Here is an 18,642-nt window from a genome sequence, read left to right on the forward strand (position 1 = left end):
TACCACACCTCTCTTCCTCCTTCTCAAAGGAATTGTAAGGAAAAAGCAGAGAAGAGTTATGTTTCTCTGCTATAGTTTCAGTTTAGCCCCATGAAAAGCATGTGGCCCTTTTGCCAGCCAAAAGCTGTAGGGGTTCTATAATCTGGAGTATTCATGGTCACAAAACAGGACAAAGTGAGGGCCTTCCGACTGCACAGAGCTGCCCTGCTCCCTGGCATGGACAGTCCTTCTTGTAAGGGTAGTTTCAGCCCTGGTCTGGAAATGTCCCATAGTCTCTGTTTTCTTTTTTTTTTTTTTTAGACGGAGTCTCGCTCTGTTGCCCAGGCTGGAGTGCAGTGGCACAATCTCAGCTCACTGCAAGCTCTGCCTCCCGGGTTCACGCCATTCTCCTGCCTCAGCTTCCTGAGTAGCTGGGACTATAGGCGGCTGCCACCACGCCCGGCTAATTTTTTGTATTTTTAGTAGAGATGGGGTTTCACTGTGTTAGCCAGGATGGTCTCGATCTCCTGACCTCGTGATCTGCCTGCCTCAGCAGAAAAGAGATTAAAAGATACAAGAGAGATGTAGTATAGCACAAAGATCTTCCCAAAAGATTTGTTATTGGACTTTCTAGCTACAGTTCACTTTTATTTATTTTATTTTATTATTATTTTTTCACATAAACCTTTCGCAACTTTTTTTTTTTTTTTTGAAGATAAGGTCTCGCTATGTTACCCAGGCTGGTTTCAGACTCCTGGGCTCAAGCGATCTTCCCACCTCAGCCTCCCAAGTAGCTAAGATTACAGGCGTGCATCACTGCGCCTGGCTGAGGCCTTTTTAAATGAGTCTCTCTGGATCACGGATTAGTAACACATAAGAGGCCAGGCTTCCTCCTATAGCCCAGGCTAAACCTGGCTGATTCCAACAAGCCCTTCCCAGAGGATGCTGTGTTCACCCTGGGTAACCATCCCTTTCCAGAATCCACCCACTGAGGAGCTGGGCCAACTGGATTTTTAATTCAAATTTTAGGCAGGATGGTCATGCTTCCTTGGTGGGAGGCCTTTTCTTTCCAGATCTGTGGGAGGGCTCAAGTGTTTGATCTTCAGGATAGTGAGCAAGAATTTGATTTGGATTAGTTTAAATCTCATTTTCTGCCCTTCCCTAGTGATAACCTTTATCTAATTCACTATAAGATGGACAAAATCTGTGTTGTAATTCAATTTTTTAAAAAAGACAAGTTGTTCCCAAAATATAACTACTTACTCCTTCATTCCTAAATTCATTCACTATTTTTTTAAAAAAATAACGAAACCATTTTTAAGCTCCTACTACATGTCAGGCTCTGTGCCAAGTTGTGGTGATTCAAAGATGAATAAGACATGGTCCCTGACCCTTGAAGAGATATCAGATAAACCCATAATATATCAGAGCAGTTCTTTGCGGCACATATTTAACTTCTGTGACCATAGCCTCCAAATTCTCTAACAGTGCGGTATTCTGGAAAGAGCACACACCCCTTATGCCCATTCTACTGCATCCAGCACACAAGGCTGGGCAGAAAGCAAGGTTCTCTGCAGCAGCCTACCCTGGAAGTTTCAACACAGCCACTGCACTATGACTGTGGCCTTACTTGGCCTGCCAGCGCCTTTCAGTGCTTACCTTTTGGCAGGTAGAGTTTAACAGGAAGCAATAGCCCTGCTACCAAATGACAGAAGAACACAATCTGAGGGTTGATGACCTTTGTATTAATTTAAACATCTCAACCTTTCTCAACCAGGACAGGCAGCCACCTCCACTTGTGAACCTGAATTCGGCTGCCACAATTTGCATGCATAATGTACTGAAAAGCCTTCTTTATAATGTTTACTTCTCTGTTTCTTCCAAATGAAATCACTGAAGGGCAAATTTGATTTTCAAATCAGTTTTAAAACATCTGCCTTCTAAAAAAGTAAGAGTAAAGAGATAAGGCTTTTATATTACAGGCAAGGGCTAATTATTTTAACTGATACCACTGTGTCCATGCTAAAAATACAAATGTGGAGACATTTTTAATGCAAACCCAACATCTAATGGATGTTAATATTTCATTAGGAAAAGGATTCCAGTCACGAGGTATGTACCTTGTGATTTTAGAAGGAAAAGACTAACTTCCTGACCTTTCTTTAAATATAAACTCATCTGACCTTGTGCTTCAGCACCTCTATTTGTTGTTCTATATGACTCTATTTCTTTCAAATATATAACTATGTCTGTCACAGCCTTCGTCTCCAGGAAGCTCAAGGTGTTTAATATATTTCAGTTTGTTATTTTATTTTCTCACTTTCTGCAAAGAATATCTGAGGGTGCAGGCTTTGCTCTAAAGGTGGAGCTATCACCCTGCAGCTGCTTGGGCCCAGGTATGTGACAGTTAAGGACAGTTTCAAAGGGCTAAGGAGGTGGGGAGAAGCAGTTACAAGGGTTGGCTCGACCCCACATGGAAGAGTTGAATGCTCACACATGTATTTTATATATACAGCATTCATGCATGTGGGTGTCTGTACATCTGTCAAGGCAACACACATTAGAAGAAACTTTAGAAGTAAATCCATTATATTTTATGTCTTACATAACTATTATATACTTTTACTGATAAAATAACAATAAACGGTATTATTTTAATAAAAACAGCCCTTGGAGCCCAGCACCAAGCCTTGTTTTAGGAATGGCATCTTACAGACGTGGAGACAGAGGCACAGAGAGAGTAAACGTCTTGCCCAAGGATGCTCGGCTAATCGGCGGCAGAACCATGGCTAAGAGCCAGGCCTCCTGATTTTCAGCCCAGGGATTTTTATTTTGCCTTTTTTACTTCACTCATGTACAGATAATGCTGCCATATTTCACACTTTTCTTGCTGGTGGCAAATACTAGTAAAGAGTCTAATAACACAATCCCTAGTATAAAGGCTAAGATTGAAATAATTTTACATTAAACAGAAACAATTCCAACACAGATTTTCACTTTCATACATGCACCCCTTATTCCAGCAATTACACTGTACTTCTCCTGGGGACAGGCTCTGAGCCCTCCACCAGTTAAGTTCTAGTACATAGTGGGTACACAGTAACTGCTAAACCACAGGAGGTTTGCAGCTCTTGTTCCACAGCGAGCCTGCACTTTACACTCTGACAATCACCAATCACCGTGGGCTCTTTAATTTTGTGGTCAGGCAGATTTTTGCCTGCCACAGTACTGAACTCATAGTAGGTACTTGATAAAAAGGGGTTGAATGAGTGAAGAAAGGTCTGCATACGTTTCCTGCAGGTAGACACTGCATTTTCTTATCAGTAAAATGGGAGTCTTGAGAGAAGGTAGTCAAGACTGGAGGGTCAGAGCAAGGACTAAAGGAAAGCCAAGGGCTGGTCACATTTCCCAGACTCAATCTTTTAGAACCAACCTTCAGGGCTGACATGCAAACAGAGCTACAAAGAGGGAAATGATTCTGAAACCTGAGCTAGTGAGGAGGGCTCAGGTTTTGCTGCAAACTCCATCTGGCTCCCAGTACCACTGGCTGAAGTTTAACAAATGAGATCACCATATTTCAAGGTTTAAGATAGGGAGGGGTCAGTGACAAAGATGAGCTTGACGTGCTCATCTTAGCAGCTCATGGCCCCAAATGTAGGGTGCACACCAGATGGAAAAGGTCACAGGAGACCAACAGAAATCAGGTAAAGGAATGACACAATAACACAGTAACAGAGATATCTGTAACTGACACTTCCTATTTTCATTGAAATGTCTGCTTTACTCAAAGGTTTTCATATGTGAGTATTCAGCTGACCCTTGGATCTTCCCTTTTTTGTGCCAGGGATCTCTCTGGCACTCTGTGAAGCATATGAATCCCTTCTCAGAATGTTTTCAAATGTATAAAATAGAACACACAAGAAACCAATGTTACTGAAGTACAGTTGTGTGCACAGACCCCTTGGGCATAGTGACAATGAAAGACCCCTGGCCCGAGGTAGAAAGGGTAGGCTTTATCAGCTGGGAAAACAGGGCTGCGTATGGGACAGGACATCAGAGTCGGGAAACTGAGACTCTGGATCTCTTTACAGCCAGAACTCTTATTTTTCAAGAAAACATAAGTTAGATGTTCTTATGTAGGAAAGGAATGCCTCACTTAAGAAATAATAAAAACAGCAACAGCTTTGACACTACTTTTCCATACCCTCTTTTAGATGCGTTTCTCCTCTTCATCCCCTTTTCCAAATACAATGGAGACCAGGAACTAGCAACACTACTATAGATTTTAGGTCCTCTCTGAAACCACAATTCTCAGTTCTCCAGAGCTCCCATTTCCCACTTTACTTTTCATTTGTAGTAAAATTAACAAATCATATGACCTAGACATTTCTAAAGACTACTGGTCTGTGACATCATTTCAAACCATCCCCAAACCTGAAATCCAAATAGCCAACATCCTAACAGAGGCTAAAGAACAAAGCACAAACCCAGTGAAGGGGAAACCACTTCTGTTTTGAAGGAAAGACTCATTTGGATTACGACAGTTAGCCAACACACGCAGGTCTGTAATGGGGGATATCTCCATATAAAATTCCTAAGTAAAAGGGTCACAAGAACTATAAATCCTAATTTAATTCAGCCAATCTAAGTAAATCCCAAAGAAACATGCTGGGCTAGAAATCAAATCCCAGTAAACAACTGGAAAATGTGGGCACAGTAATATGAGGACTCCAGAGATTTCTGCAGCAAATGGATTGTTCTAATGACATTTGATTAAAAATCTGCTTCCACCTGGGTCAGTGCATTTCATGTGCAGAGTGGATTCAGTTCCGCATGCAGAATAAAAATTTCAATGGAAGGCACAGTGGGAGGAAGAAAACAATAGCTCCCCAAACCCACAGTCATTGAATGTTGTGTCCAGGTTCAGATCTGGGAAACAAAGAACTGTGAGATGAGAGATGGCTGTGCCAAATGAACAGGATGCATTTTCCCTGAGCATCACTGCAAAAGGGGCCCAGGGGAAGCCTGATCTCAGGCCAAACACACACTTTTCCTACACCTCACTGCTCAGTAGCTGAACTCTGTAAAGGTGCAACTCACTTGCTTTTTAGTTTTGTCTTCATAAATTGCACACTTGTCTGTGATTTGGACAAATTTTTAAGCAGACACGGAAAGCAAACAATCATTCAACTTCAGTTTGCTTTGTAGGTGACACTTAGGAAGAGTCAGTGTATTGGAGAGTCTTTTTGAGGTGTATGTTGTTTTCAAATCAGACTACAGGCAAGTAGTCTATCTTTTCTTTTCTCCCTAACTCCACACAGAGCTCCACATAGAGAGGGGATCTATCATTCTGATCAACAAATCCAACTTTTTGTGCCAAAAGGGCAAAATAATTTCTTAAATGTAAGGTCAGTTCAAACAACTCCTGCATGTTAGTTGCCACCATTCACTAATATCCTGGTTTTAGCAAGTCAGATGCACCAAAGTACCAGGAAGGCCACCTGTGTGGAGATAAATGGCAGTCCCCGGTGATCATGGAAGTACCAGGGCTCCCATCAACATGATTCATAAAATCACATGATATCACAAAATCAACAGTTTCTGGTCTTGCTTAAGCCATCTGATAGGAGTAAATGGTTACCAAGATGCCTACAGAAACTAATGAATGAATAGATAATGCCAGCTATATCTCAGAAAGAAGAAAAGATAATCTGATGAAAAAACAATCTTAATTCCTTACAAAAAAGTGCTGAATCTTATGGTATTTCAAGTGTCAAGAAAAAATAAACAGATGACTTTAAAGAGAGGTGGGGAGGGTTACAATGTAAAGCATTTGTCTGTTTCCTTTTCAATGGTATTTTCCAATGTTTTAAAAAAAAAAAATCAGCCAGATATGGTAGCTCATGCCTCTACTCCCAGCACTTTGGGAGGCTGAGGCAAAAAGACTGCTTGAGGCCAGGAGTTCGAGACCAGCCTGGGCAATAAAGAGAGTCCCTGTCTCTATTTAAAAAAAATAGAAAAATTAGTTGGGCATGGTGGTGGCATGTGCCTATAGTCCCAGCTACCTGGGAGATGGAAGCAGGAGGATTGCCGGAGGCTAGGTTTAGAAGCCTAGGTGACAGAGCAGGACTTTGTCTCTTAAAAAACAAAACAAAATCAGCAAGCACCTCATTCAATCTTTTTTAAACAAAAAATTTGAAGAAATTGATTCTGAGCCAAATATGAGTGACCAATGGCCTGTGATACAACCCTCAGGAGGTCCTGAGAACAAGTGCTCAAGGTGGTCATTTGGGGCACAGCCTAGTTTTATACATTTTAGGGAGACGTGAGACGTCAATCAAATACATGTAAGATTTACATTGGTTCCACCTGGAAGGGTAGGGCAACTCAAGGACGGGTGCTTCCAGGTCATTAAAAATTTTCTGATTGGCAATTGGTTGAGAGTTATTATCAACAGAAAGGAATGTATGCTTTACAGTAAGCTGTTGCGGAGACCAAGGTTTTTTGTTTTTTTTTTTTTGAGACGGAGTCTCGCTCTGTCGCCCAGGCTGGAGTGCAGTGGCACGATCTCGGCTCACTGCAAGCTCCACCTCCCGGGTTCACACCATTGTCCTGCCTCAGCCTCCCGAGTAGCTGGGACTACAGGCGCCCACCACCACGCCCAGCTAATTTTTTTGTATTTTTAGTAGAGACGGGGTTTCACCGTGTTATCCAGGATGGTCTCGATTTCCTGACCTGTTGATCCGCCCACCTCGGCCTCCCAAAGTGCCAGGATTACAGGCGTGAGCCACCGCGCCTGGCCGAGACCAATGTTTTATCATGCAGGTGAAGCCTCCAAGTAGTAGGTTTCAGACAGAATAGACTGTAAATGTTTCTTATCAGACTTGAGATCTGTGTTGATGTTAATGCTGGTCAGCTTTCCCTGAATTCTAAAAGGGAAGAGGGTATAATGAGACATGTCCGACCCCTGCTTCCATCATGGCCTGAACAAGTTTTTCAGGCTAACTTTCTAATGCCCTTGGCTGAAAGAAGGGGTCCATTTGGATGGTTACTCCATTCAATCTTAATGGGGTGGGACTCGGGAGAAGAGTACAGAACATAAAAGGCCCTCTTCCTCTCTCAGGAAAGGACACCAAGTCATCTAGTGCAAGTTCACTTTACACTTCAGATATAATCTCTTGGCCAGGAGCGGTGGCTCATGCCCATAATCCCTGTAATCCCAGCACTTTGGGAGGCCGAGGTGGACAGATCACGAGGTCAAGAGATCGAGACCATCCTGGCCAACATGGTGAAACCCTGTCTCTACTAAAAACACAAAAATTAGCTGGGCGTGGTGGCGCACGTCTGCAGTCCCAGCTACTTGGGAGGCTGAGGCAGGAGAACTGCTTGAACCTGGGATGTGGAGGTTGCAGTGAGCCAAGATCGTGCCACTGCATTGTAGCCTGGCGACAGAGCAAGACTCTGTCTCAAAAAAAAAAAAAAAAAAAAAAGATATAATCTCTTATAGGAAATTTAAAACAATAACCTGAGACATGGCAGTTTTATCACCCAAGCTACTGGGCTAAGCTTCAGGATACCAAACCCTTGAGTAAAAAGCACAGCCAGGAGACAGCTAAAAGGAGCTTAAGAATGTATATAGTCATTTTATTATAAATGGCTACTCTGGAGCCAATATACTTGACTTTGACTTTTTTAAGGCAAGATTAACCATGACACATTTTGGTCAAGCTTAGGAAACAACTTGCTAATAATCTATCTTGTGAAAAAAGATGCCTCTGGAAATTCATCATATTGGTGGAGGGAGAAAACACCTACATTTTGGCTGTCACTAAAAGCCAAACAGAAACTTCCTGTTTTCAAGGGTCAGTGGAAAATTACTGCTTATTATATAGTATTACATTTACAGAAACTGCAAGTGCTCATCACAAACTGAACGTCACACTTACCTTATCAGAAAGAGCAGCCTGGCACTGGCACAGGAGTGCAACAAAACACGGTCAATTTACTAAGCCTCCCGATAGCCAAGGTTATTGTTGGCAATACAAAAGGTAACAAAGGAGTGGACTGGCTGAGCGTGCAAGGCTGCTATCCTGCCATCTCTGGGAAGATCTGAGCTCAAGGCACACCTGAACTTCCCTCCAGCAGGCTGAAGAGAGAACGAGTGATTTTCTTGTATCCACCAAGGCCAGGCCCATTCCATCTAGGTAGTAAGTACTTCCAGATTTAGCATGCTGCCTACTCCCATAAATGTTATCCCTACTGAGTCACTCAGAGAAGATTTGGTCTAACTCCATGTGTCAGAATCCACAAATGCCTCTATTTGCATTGGGATCAAGGCCCCTCAGTCTCAGCTGGTCCTGAGCCAATTGGGAAGGCTTAATTAGTGAGCCCATGAGAGGAGGGAAGTGCCCAGCACAGAGCCTGACCTAAAGCAGTGGCTCAAAATATGTCCACTAAATTAATGCCTAGATAAATATCAGACTTTTGAGTTAACATAAGCCCATGCCCTACAGTTTAGGGTTCCTGGCAGGGAAATGATTCAATAGTATTTGAATGATAATTTTAATTAAGGAAATGGCAAAAGAAGAAAATACTGCCTGAAAATATCAGTGGTTCTATCCCCCAAAATGAAAAGCTTAGAAAATTGTGCCCTGTGTTCCCTTCTCATCTCCTCAGAAATTCATAAAGTTAATTAATATTAATGTAAGAACACCATATTAAAGCAATGTGAAGGCATAAATTTGAAAATCAGACTAGAAATTCAAAAATGAAGGCATTTGGAATTGTAGATTCACAGTACGTGCCATGTCTAACTAAAAACTTGATTACTTCTTAATGTTATTGTGGCTCTGTCTTCACAGGGCAATTGAGGCTTTCAATTAGCCTACCAGATCCACGCTCAAACGGGCAGAGGCTGTGATAGGAGGGGCTCAGTGGTGCTCCGAGAACACCAACTCTGAAGTCCTGTTGGTTTAAATCTGTGACCCTGACACTAGATTAATGTAGATTTGGGTTTTGATCTTAATTAGGAAAAATGAATTCTGAAGATTCAGAAATGTGAAACAAACAAACAAGCTTCCAGGAGCCCCTCCTTCTCCCACCCTCAGCATACCCTAAAGAAAAGACTATACATTTCAAAGCTCCAGCATCAGAATTTCTATTAAGCTTATATGTCCACTGCTAAATCCTACAGAGAATTCAGTAACTCTCCAGAGAATCAGGAAGGAAAAAAGAACGATATAAACAAGTTCTCTCCTCTAATAGAGCAGTACCAACATATGCTATCTTCCTTTGCCTAAGAATCACCTCACAGCAGAAATTTACACTAAGGCTCTGAGAACCGCAGATGAGGAAGCAAGCAGTATTATCCAGTCTTCCTCATCTGAGGAAAACCACGAACTCTCTGGGACAAATTTAATGTGCAACATTGCCTCAAGGTAGAAGGCCGAACAAGATGACCACTCATCAGGTCAAGATTGCTAAGCCACATTACTAGGAATACAAACATTCTTTTGCTCCATTTAGGTTTATTACATGGGCTCCATACTGTTGTATAAATTTGGATAAAGAAGTGAAAAGTGTATGAGCAGAAAGCACTCGCAAACTCCCTCCAAAGCAGCTGGTAAATGTGTGCAATTCCAGATGATCACCACTCTGAAACTATACTTTAGAACTTTGTAAGAAATGTTTATTACTGATACTCAGTACATAATTTATAACACCACGGTGAAATTCACTTACATTCCATTTCAAGGGATGGTGAAAAGAAAATGTCAACTGTGGGGAAAATATGCTTTATAGAGCTTGGCTTAAAACAGAGGGAAAAAAACCACACATGCAAGTCTCTTTTCGTGGAAGGAAACAGTCTAATAAATGGCCTAATGAACAGTGTAATGATTTTTTTTAAGTAGGCAATAGGAAGGAAAAGGGAAGAAAAACAGGCTAATATACTCTACAACCTGAATAATGAACCCCTAGATAATCTAGATTTGACCACTGGTGTAGAAGCTATACTTTTAAAACCAATTTTAAAGTATGAATTATGATACAGCTAATAGGCTGGACAAATTAATATTCTGTGGAAGTAGTACTGACAGCAAGGTAGGGAATCATATAAAAATAAAGGTGGATTTCTTTGTATCCATAGTCTTCATCATACTTCTGGAAGGTGGATAGTTGACTTGTACCTTTATGTGATTTTAAAATCTGAAGTTCATAGCCTCCTTGGGTTGGGAAATCACCAGTCGTCCCAGGCACAACATGAGCCAGTAGCAGATGGGTAGGCTCAAAATGCATCTTTTCAGAAAAATTTCCCTAACTCCATCCCATACTCTGATAATGTTTATATACTTACAGTACTTACATATCTGATTTTTCATGTTTACTGTGGTCTTATAGGCCATGCAAAATTCTGGGAAAAAGGGACTCAGAATCAGGAGACCTGAGTTCTAATCCAGGGCTTGCCATTAGATGAGAACTTGGGAAAGGCACCTGTGACTGCTGTCTCATCTGTAAAATGGGAGGCTTGGGCTATGATTTCCAAGGTACTTCTACCAGTTACAGTATTGTTTGATTCTAGGATCTTGTTTTGTATTTTACACTGTGTGTGCATATGTGTGTGTGTACACAAACAAGATGGTTCCCAAATGTTCTGTATAACCTGTAAGTTCCTTCATAGAAGAAATGTCTTCCTGTCTCCTCAGAATTTTCCTTCACAATGTATTAATAGTATGAGCCTCTACCTACTAGGGTCACTGAACAAATATTAGACTGAATCAAAGTTGTGCATTTGACTACAGACCTACAGAGATGACTCTGGGAAAAGCTGCTCCTATACTTCCAAGGGGATAAATCCCAATGTACCTTGAAAAATGGCTAGATTTTTAAAAAGTAACCTTTCTCCTGGACTAGGCCCTTATTTCTTCCCTTTTCTGAAACAGACCCAAGAAACAGTAAATGTATCAAGTTATATGCATGCCAATTACAGTGGACATTCACATAATGGAGCAGTCACTTGTGTTTGGGAGGAGAAAGATCAAGGAAGAACTCATAGAGCATTTGGCTGGGTCTTGAAGGGAACACTGAATAGGTGGAGACTTGAAGATCAGCCAGAGCAAATAAAAATAATTAGCTTACCTAAAGCATGGGCTCATTTAACAATAGTGATTAGGCCAGGCTGAAAGGAAAGTAGGAATATAAGGACTGTAAAGAGAGAATTACAGAAATAAAGGTTAGAAAGTCTGGTTAGAGTCAGAGAGATATGGTAATTTTATATTTGAAATCTGGACATGTGGTTTAACAGGAGGCAGGATATTTAAAAATGAGATGTTTAGGGAGAGCTGGTCATGTAGAGATAGAAGATGACCCAGGTAAGGATCGGAGGCTTTCCTCACTGAAGGTCCCTGTACAGGGATTAAGAAATCACAGCAACGACAACCTAGCAACAGTGTTCTAGACTCTAGTACAGCAACAGACGTAGAGTATAGAAATTCTCTGCAACAGTATTGAGGGAAACTCACTAGAAGCTACTATAAATACTCCAGGAAATAAGTATGAAGGTCTGAATACGAATGGAGGCAATGGGAATGGAAAAAAAAGATGAAAGGGTATAACAGAAAGGATATAGCACCTGAATGACTGTGGAGGGCAAAGAAGAAAGACTCAAAGGGGTAAGAGATGCCCAGGGGAAGGGAGCTACAACAACAAAAGCAGGGACACCAAAGGAGTGGAGCTGCTTTATGGAGAATGACAATGATGAGTTTAGTTTGAGACAAGTTGTGTTTGAGAAACCATTCTAGAAGGTGCCAATGGAAAATATGAATGAAAGAGACAGCTGAAGCCAAGAGAATGAGCTAAATGGTGATTCTGTGTGCATGCTGGACCCCTGAATTCATAAAAATGCCCTTTTCCTTCTTCTTTTTTAAACACAGGAAGAAAACACGAGCCTCTTAGTTCTCTGGGATAGAGCTGAGCAAGCGTCAATCATGGTATAATTACCAAAACAGAGCCTTCTCATTAGATCCAGAGGCTGGCTGCTGACTTCTGATTATAATTTAGTAAACTGAGGCAGGTCACTTTAAGAAAATAAGATCAAAACGACCATGCCTTTCCTTTCTGTTACCTTTATTCACTGACCAACAAATAGGCTCTACTTTCCTTTTTTTGCAGATGCCCATGCTGACTGTTACTGTGGTGCCCGCTGCTCAGTTTGCTTACCTACCTTGGGATCATGTGACTGACAATGTGCAGCAGGTCCCTTGTCTGTACACCCATTTCAGGGGAGGGGTTAATCAAGACTTGGTCATGGTAAGGGTGCTGACTGAGCACCTCTCTGGATGGTGGTAGGCTGGACCCTCTGCAGCCATCCTGAGACCATGAGAGGTACAGAGAGCTCTAGGATTCCAGAGTGAGGTCTGTTCTGTTGAACAGACTCTTTCCTGCTGGGAGAGGTACATGTGATGCTCTGGCAGGCAGTTTAGAGTCCCTCTTCAGAGTTTAAGTTTGGGCTTTTTTTTTTAACCTTTTACTCTAAAAATCCAGAGAAGCAATTGAAACATTAACCAGACGAACTTGGGATTTTAAATCAAATCAATTTCTGAACTGAAAGGGGCACAGCTGGAAAAGAGTTTTAAAAGCACTTGGCCCCTCCATAAAAATAAACTTTACTCTCTCTAAGAGTGGTTAAAAATAAAGGTAATGGACTTCCAGCCAGTAACCAACTTGAAGTGATAAACTGTTACCAGGGGATCCAAGTCACTAACGTGAGGGGCAATGATAGATGTAAAAACCAAAGAAAACTGAGCCTCTGGCAATACTGAATTAAAATTTGTGGAATAATGCTATAAATGAGCCAAAGATGACAGATCAATAATGGGTTAATAAAGAGAAGTTAGGAAGACACATGTGTAGTTTACAAGGACTACATCACCATGGGCAAATCTTATTCTCTCCCATAAACTCTTCCTTGCGCTTTATGTGACAGCATCTGAGCTGGAATGGGCAAACTTCCCAATTGGGCTTTGTGACAATGACACCTCCAGACAGTAACAAGACAAATGAAACCAACATGCATACGTGACTGGAGACAGAGCAATGGCACGCATGCTTCTATTCATTCAGATCAAGTACATACTGACCCCTACAAGTGTTAGGTGCTTGCTAGGCTACTACTATGGATCAAAGAGTGAGTAAAACACCAAATCCCTGCTCTGGAGCTTACCTTCTGGTGCAAAAGAACAGTAACTTAACAGCCATGCTATGAATGGGTAATTGCAAACTGCAACAAGGGCTGTGAAAAAAAGTAGCTTGGTTTTATGAGAGGGGATAACACAGTGATTTGATCAAGATGGGTGGTCAGGGCAAACTTTCCTGAAAAGTGGCCCTTGAGCTGAGAAGGGTAAGTGGGGGTGGTTAATGAGACAAAGGGCAGAGGGTGGGCTCCAGACAGAGACCAGCATGGCATGCGCAAAGGCTCTGTGTGAGGACAGAGCATGATGGATGGTGGGAAAACAGAGGATGCCAGGGAGATGGGAACAGGGAGAGGGATGCAGAGGGAGTATGGAGAGGCAGGGGGCCAGATTGTGCAGGGCACTCTAGGCCACGCAAAGAATTCTGTTCTTGATTCAGAGAGCAGCAGGAAGCAGTGCAGGGTCCTAAGCAGGACGATACTAGAGTTGTGCTTGAAAAGTGCCACCTGCCTATAGTAAGTAAACTCATGGGAGGGCACAGAGGGAATGTGGGGGGGTCAGTCAGTAGAGTGGAGTGGAACAGGTAAGTGATGATGGTAGGTGAACTAAATGTGATCTTGATTTATTTTTAATCATTTGGAATATAACATTAATAAGAAAGTTATTTCCATAATAAAATAAAAATTTCTGACCATGTACATTTTGTGTGCTCACACAGCTCACTGAGAAAGTTTTATTGAGGTATGCTTCATTTTTTTTATAACAGGCATGGAAAAAATTATTACCCTCACAGAATAACGTGGCTCCTGGGTTAAGTAAGAAAGAAGGAAATAGGAGCTCTCAGATTCTTCTTCCTGATCATTTGCTACCCAAGAGGACTTCATTTCCTTCTAGCTCCTTTAACTTCCAAATGTTCTGGGTAGAGAGGAGCCTCCCACTGGGGGTCCACAGGATCTGCTGGCAGCTCTAAATTTAGAACTCAGGCAATTCACATACTTAGCATCAAAATCTACTTTCCACATGCCTCCCAATGTTTGGGTAAATTTATAATAAAAACTTCCTGCAATACAAAAGATAAGTCCCCTTTAAATGTGCAGGTATGACTGGCTGACTCCTTATTGCTATTTTCTATTCTAAAATAAGCATCAGCTTTAGGTACTTCATAACCCCATAAACAAGTGTGAGTAACTGGTGTCTCCAAGTGTGGCCTAACGTATAGATGACTTCTATAGGGCAAGCCTGCTGATATCTCATCATTAACACAAGGATCTGCCTAGGGTCAGACTTGGCGCACGTGCACGTACGTGTGTGTGTGTGTGTATTGTCTAAAATCTGCTATTTTCTTCATTTTTCATTTTTTGAAACCATTCCTCTTACAGGTACATGTTTCTTCATTGTTCAAGTTCTAAAGCTCTTGACAAAATTAACACCAATGTTTGCCCTTTAAAAAAAAAAAACAGAAAAGAACATGACTGGCTTTTTTCATTACTGTCAAATGCTGTGTAGAAAAACGGAATTAAGTATGAAAAAAGAAAAATAAAATCTTCATCGAGCATTTCAAAAGTGACAATTACACAACCAGAACTCATTAATTGGTTCACGCTTCTAGAAGGAACAAGCAAACATACTCCTCCAACCTGGTAGGGCAGAAAAATCTGAGGACAACAGCCCTGTCTGTTATTACCAATATGGGATTTATGCGACAGTCAAGTGCTTCAATCTTCTTGGAAACTAACACGTCACCCAACTATGAACTATGTCTCATCATCATTAGTATCAATGAGGAAGACATTTCCTCCTTTATATCCTGCTTTCTTTCTGTTGCATCTTATTTGTGACATCAAGTTCTTTACACAAAACTCCAAATCACATGGTTAGCAGTGACCTCCTGGAACCAACCCAAAGTTTTTGTTAAGTGTGAGATTAAGAAACAAAGCAGGCAAAAAACAAATATCAAACCTTTCTCAACATTGTCACTAACAATGGCAAAGAAGATGTAAAAAAAAAAAAATCACAGGCAAAGTAAATTGTCTCTAGATTTAAATGTACCATTTTTCAATCTTGCTATACTTTGGAAGACTTTACTGAGGCTATAACTCTCCACCTTTAATTTATCCTGTTGTCCTCAGCCACTGCAGCACTTAGAAGAAGAAATATTTTCCTCTTTCTACCATTCCTAGGGAATAAATAGCAGATACAGAAACAGATCCCAGGACTAAGTGGCAGTGCATTCAGCAAGGGGACAGACAATGCTTCTCGGATATGAATACAATCATGCTGAAGACCAGGCAGCAGATGGGTGGACTCCACACATGTCTTTCCAGGTGACAGGGAGACAGTCAAGGTGCTTCTCAGGGAAGGCACAGGGGAGAAGCTTCCCAACATTAGGTTGCTGTAGAGATTGCCTGCTCCAAGGAGGTGCTCTAACCTGCCAAGTAGGCCAGGGCCCTTGGAGAGGGCAAACTCAGATGGGAATGAACTTTGGGTGTCCCAGGGAAAGGCAGAAGAAAGTACTCTCAGAGAAGCGGGCTTTAAGGAGCCCATGGAGAGAAGCATAAGGAAAATGTAGCTGGAGTGTCCTTTCCAGGGAAACACAGCTTTTGTGCTTGGGCTAAATGGCAAGGTTCTGAAGAGCTGCTGGGATATTGCTATGTATAGCACTTAATTTTGTTGATTTACTGCTGGCAGTGAATAAACCATGCCACTCTGCCAGCATATGCTACTCAAATAATGGCAAGGACAAGCATCCATAAAACACTTATGGCTCTAGCAAAAAAAAAATTTTTTTTTTCAAGTAAAGTGTTTTTAGATTTTAAAAGAAATACATGTAAATTGGTCAGAAAAATGTTGAAAATTAGAAATAATTTCCGTAATCCCTTATACAAAGTCGACCATTATGAATATTTTGGCATATTTCCTTTTGGCTTTCTTCTTCCGTAATTCTTTCTACTTATGATAACACTTCTATAATTTTGTACACGCTTTTTAAAAATCTTAGGTATTTCCTTAAGTTATTAAAAAAACTCTTTGCAGCATCATTTTTAATAAACACCTAGATTGGGGGAAAAATTTACTCAGAAGGGAATTTAGATGATAAATCTGGCAGGAAATAGAAAGTTTGTGATAAAATTAGAAGCTAAAAGCTAGAAAGACTAGGTAGTTCCATATTAGGACTACAGAATTCTCAAGTGGAAAAAGAAAGTTTTCATTACCTAATTCTTTTTATCTAATCGTTTGTATTTGCCAAAATGTTTGCGAGGGGCACAGTTTTGGATAGATGATGGCTGAAGTCACTAATACTTTGGCAGACAGAATTACTATTCAACGGGACCATGACAAAGCAAAGAAATTGTTTAAAAAATGAATGCAAATGAGGACAATACGTGAGGGAGTATACTCTGACAGGAAACAAGACAGCTATATAACATGGCAGAGGCACAGCCAAGCACACGAAAGGTAAGGAAAATGACTTGGGGTCACTGGGGACTATCAACAGCTGACTACAAGTCAGCACAGGCCGTGGTGCTTTTGGGAATTCAGGTCCAAGATGGCTGACATTGTAGGCACAGTTCGCTCTCCCTTCCCGGAAACCACTGACATGCCATCAAAGAAATGCAAAGAGAATACATTCAAAAAGGTTGCAAATTGGAGAGGACATTAGTAAATGAAAAATCTTGGTGAATTTCGAGAAAATGATATGCACATGAAATATTACTCATTTATAAATCGAGGAGAACTGGGCAGATTTCCATACCGAAGCAAACTGAGCAGGATGAATGACAAATGACCCACATCCAGCCATGTCACTGTGAAATTTGAGACTACCGAGGTGAAGAGAATATCCTAAAGGCTTCTATAGAGAAAAATAAATTACTGCAAAGAACATGAGTCAGACTGACATCAGATTTCTCATCTGCAACATTAGATACTAGAGGGCAATAAATCCAAGCTGTCAGACTTCTGAAAAAACTGAATTCTATACCCAGTCAAACTATGATTCAGATATGCTGGGGTTCTGAAAATTTGTTTTCTATATCCCTTTTCTGAAAAAAATTACTTATAGATTTGTTCTCTGCAATCGCCATGAGTGATCTTCTTTCTTTCTTTCTTTTTTTGAGACAGGCTCTTGTTCTGTCACCCAGGCTGGAGTGCAGTAGTGTGATCTTAGCTCACTGTAACCTCGAACTCCTGGCTTCAGCAATCCTCCCCGCTCAGCGTCCTAAGTAGCTGGAACTGCAGGTGTGTGCCATGATATCTGGCTAATTTTTTTTTCACATTTTATTTATTTGGTAGAGACTGGGTCTCACTATGTTGCTGGGGCTGGTCTTGAACTCCTGGCCTCAAACAATCCTCCTGCCTCAGCCTCCCAAAGTGCTGGGATTATAGCAGTCTTTTCAACTAAATGTTTAGGCTCAACAGACCCAAACAAGCCATAATTGGCTTCAGATTCACCTAGGACACAGAATGGGAAACACAGCAAGCCCCCAGGACAGCACCAGGTATTTCTTCCCTTCGGGAGTCTTTGTAGCAGTCAACACAACTGTCTGGGAGCTATTCTTTTTGGCCTGCAGGTGACAGCTCAAATAAGAGCATTAAGAATCAAAAAAAAAAAAAAAGTATATAAGACTCAAGGAAAAAAAAAGAGTATATAAGACTCAACAACGGGTAAATGTGGAGCTACTCTGGCTTAGAAGCTTCACATTCCAAATAGAAACTAATACTTCTTGTGACAGCTCCATAAGCACAGATCCCAGAATTACAAGGAATAAGCCCAATTACAAAAGTCTCTGCACTCAGGGAAGCACAAGGATCTATAGTTTCTGACCAGATATTTACAGTTCTCCCAGGCCAGATGCAATTTACCATTCAGGGGTAATTTTTTAAAATCATAAGCAATGTTGCTTATAACGCAGCAGACATTCCACTACCATCAGGTTTTCAGGGGAACAGGTCTAGAAAAGTAACAGGGGCCCAAGGTCAATATCTTAAGAAAAGGGAAAGGGGTTTTTTTAAAACTGTTTACCCACATTCCACAAAAAGAAAATGAAATTGAGGAAACAGTGTTACTAATGATAGGAAAGAAGAAGAAATTTTAGGATTGCAGACATAAACAATCTGTTCAAAATCAACCAATGAACAAACAGTATGCTTTAGAAGCTTCTGCAACGGAAAAAACTAATCAGGAACTTCAAGAAAACAAAAAGCTGTCTAATAGGAAGCTATTTAACATGTGGAATAATTCTGAGCACTTGTAAGAAAATCTAATCTGTTTCATCAGAACAGTACAATTCTTCCAAGAGGGGAACAAGTTTACTGACATATTTCCCTAACTCTAGATCCAACCAATTACTAGATCTGTCATGAACAATGTTTATATGATCATTATATTTTAATGAGTTCTTAGTGTTTTTCCCTTTTCAGGATCAATTTATAGTTAACATATAGATGGTTTAACTATAAGTTACAGAACAAAAAA

General features: G+C 41.0%; 1 protein-coding gene and 1 long non-coding RNA gene across 8 annotated transcripts in view; one reads left to right on the forward strand and one right to left on the reverse strand.

Annotated features, from left to right (window-relative positions):
* BTBD9 (BTB domain containing 9) overlaps positions 1-18,642 on the reverse strand; it is a 471,479-nt gene that overhangs the window by 63,541 nt on the left and 389,296 nt on the right. The gene's annotated exons all lie outside the window — the stretch shown is intronic.
* LOC105375045 (uncharacterized) lies at positions 10,310-14,625 on the forward strand. The gene is made up of 2 exons (XR_926772.4): positions 10,310-11,648; positions 14,546-14,625. It is a non-coding gene; the product is annotated as an uncharacterized LOC105375045 (long non-coding RNA).

The sequence above is a fragment of the Homo sapiens genome, chromosome 6 (assembly GCF_000001405.40).
Source record: "Homo sapiens chromosome 6, GRCh38.p14 Primary Assembly".
NCBI classification, from domain to species: Eukaryota; Metazoa; Chordata; class Mammalia; order Primates; family Hominidae; genus Homo; species Homo sapiens.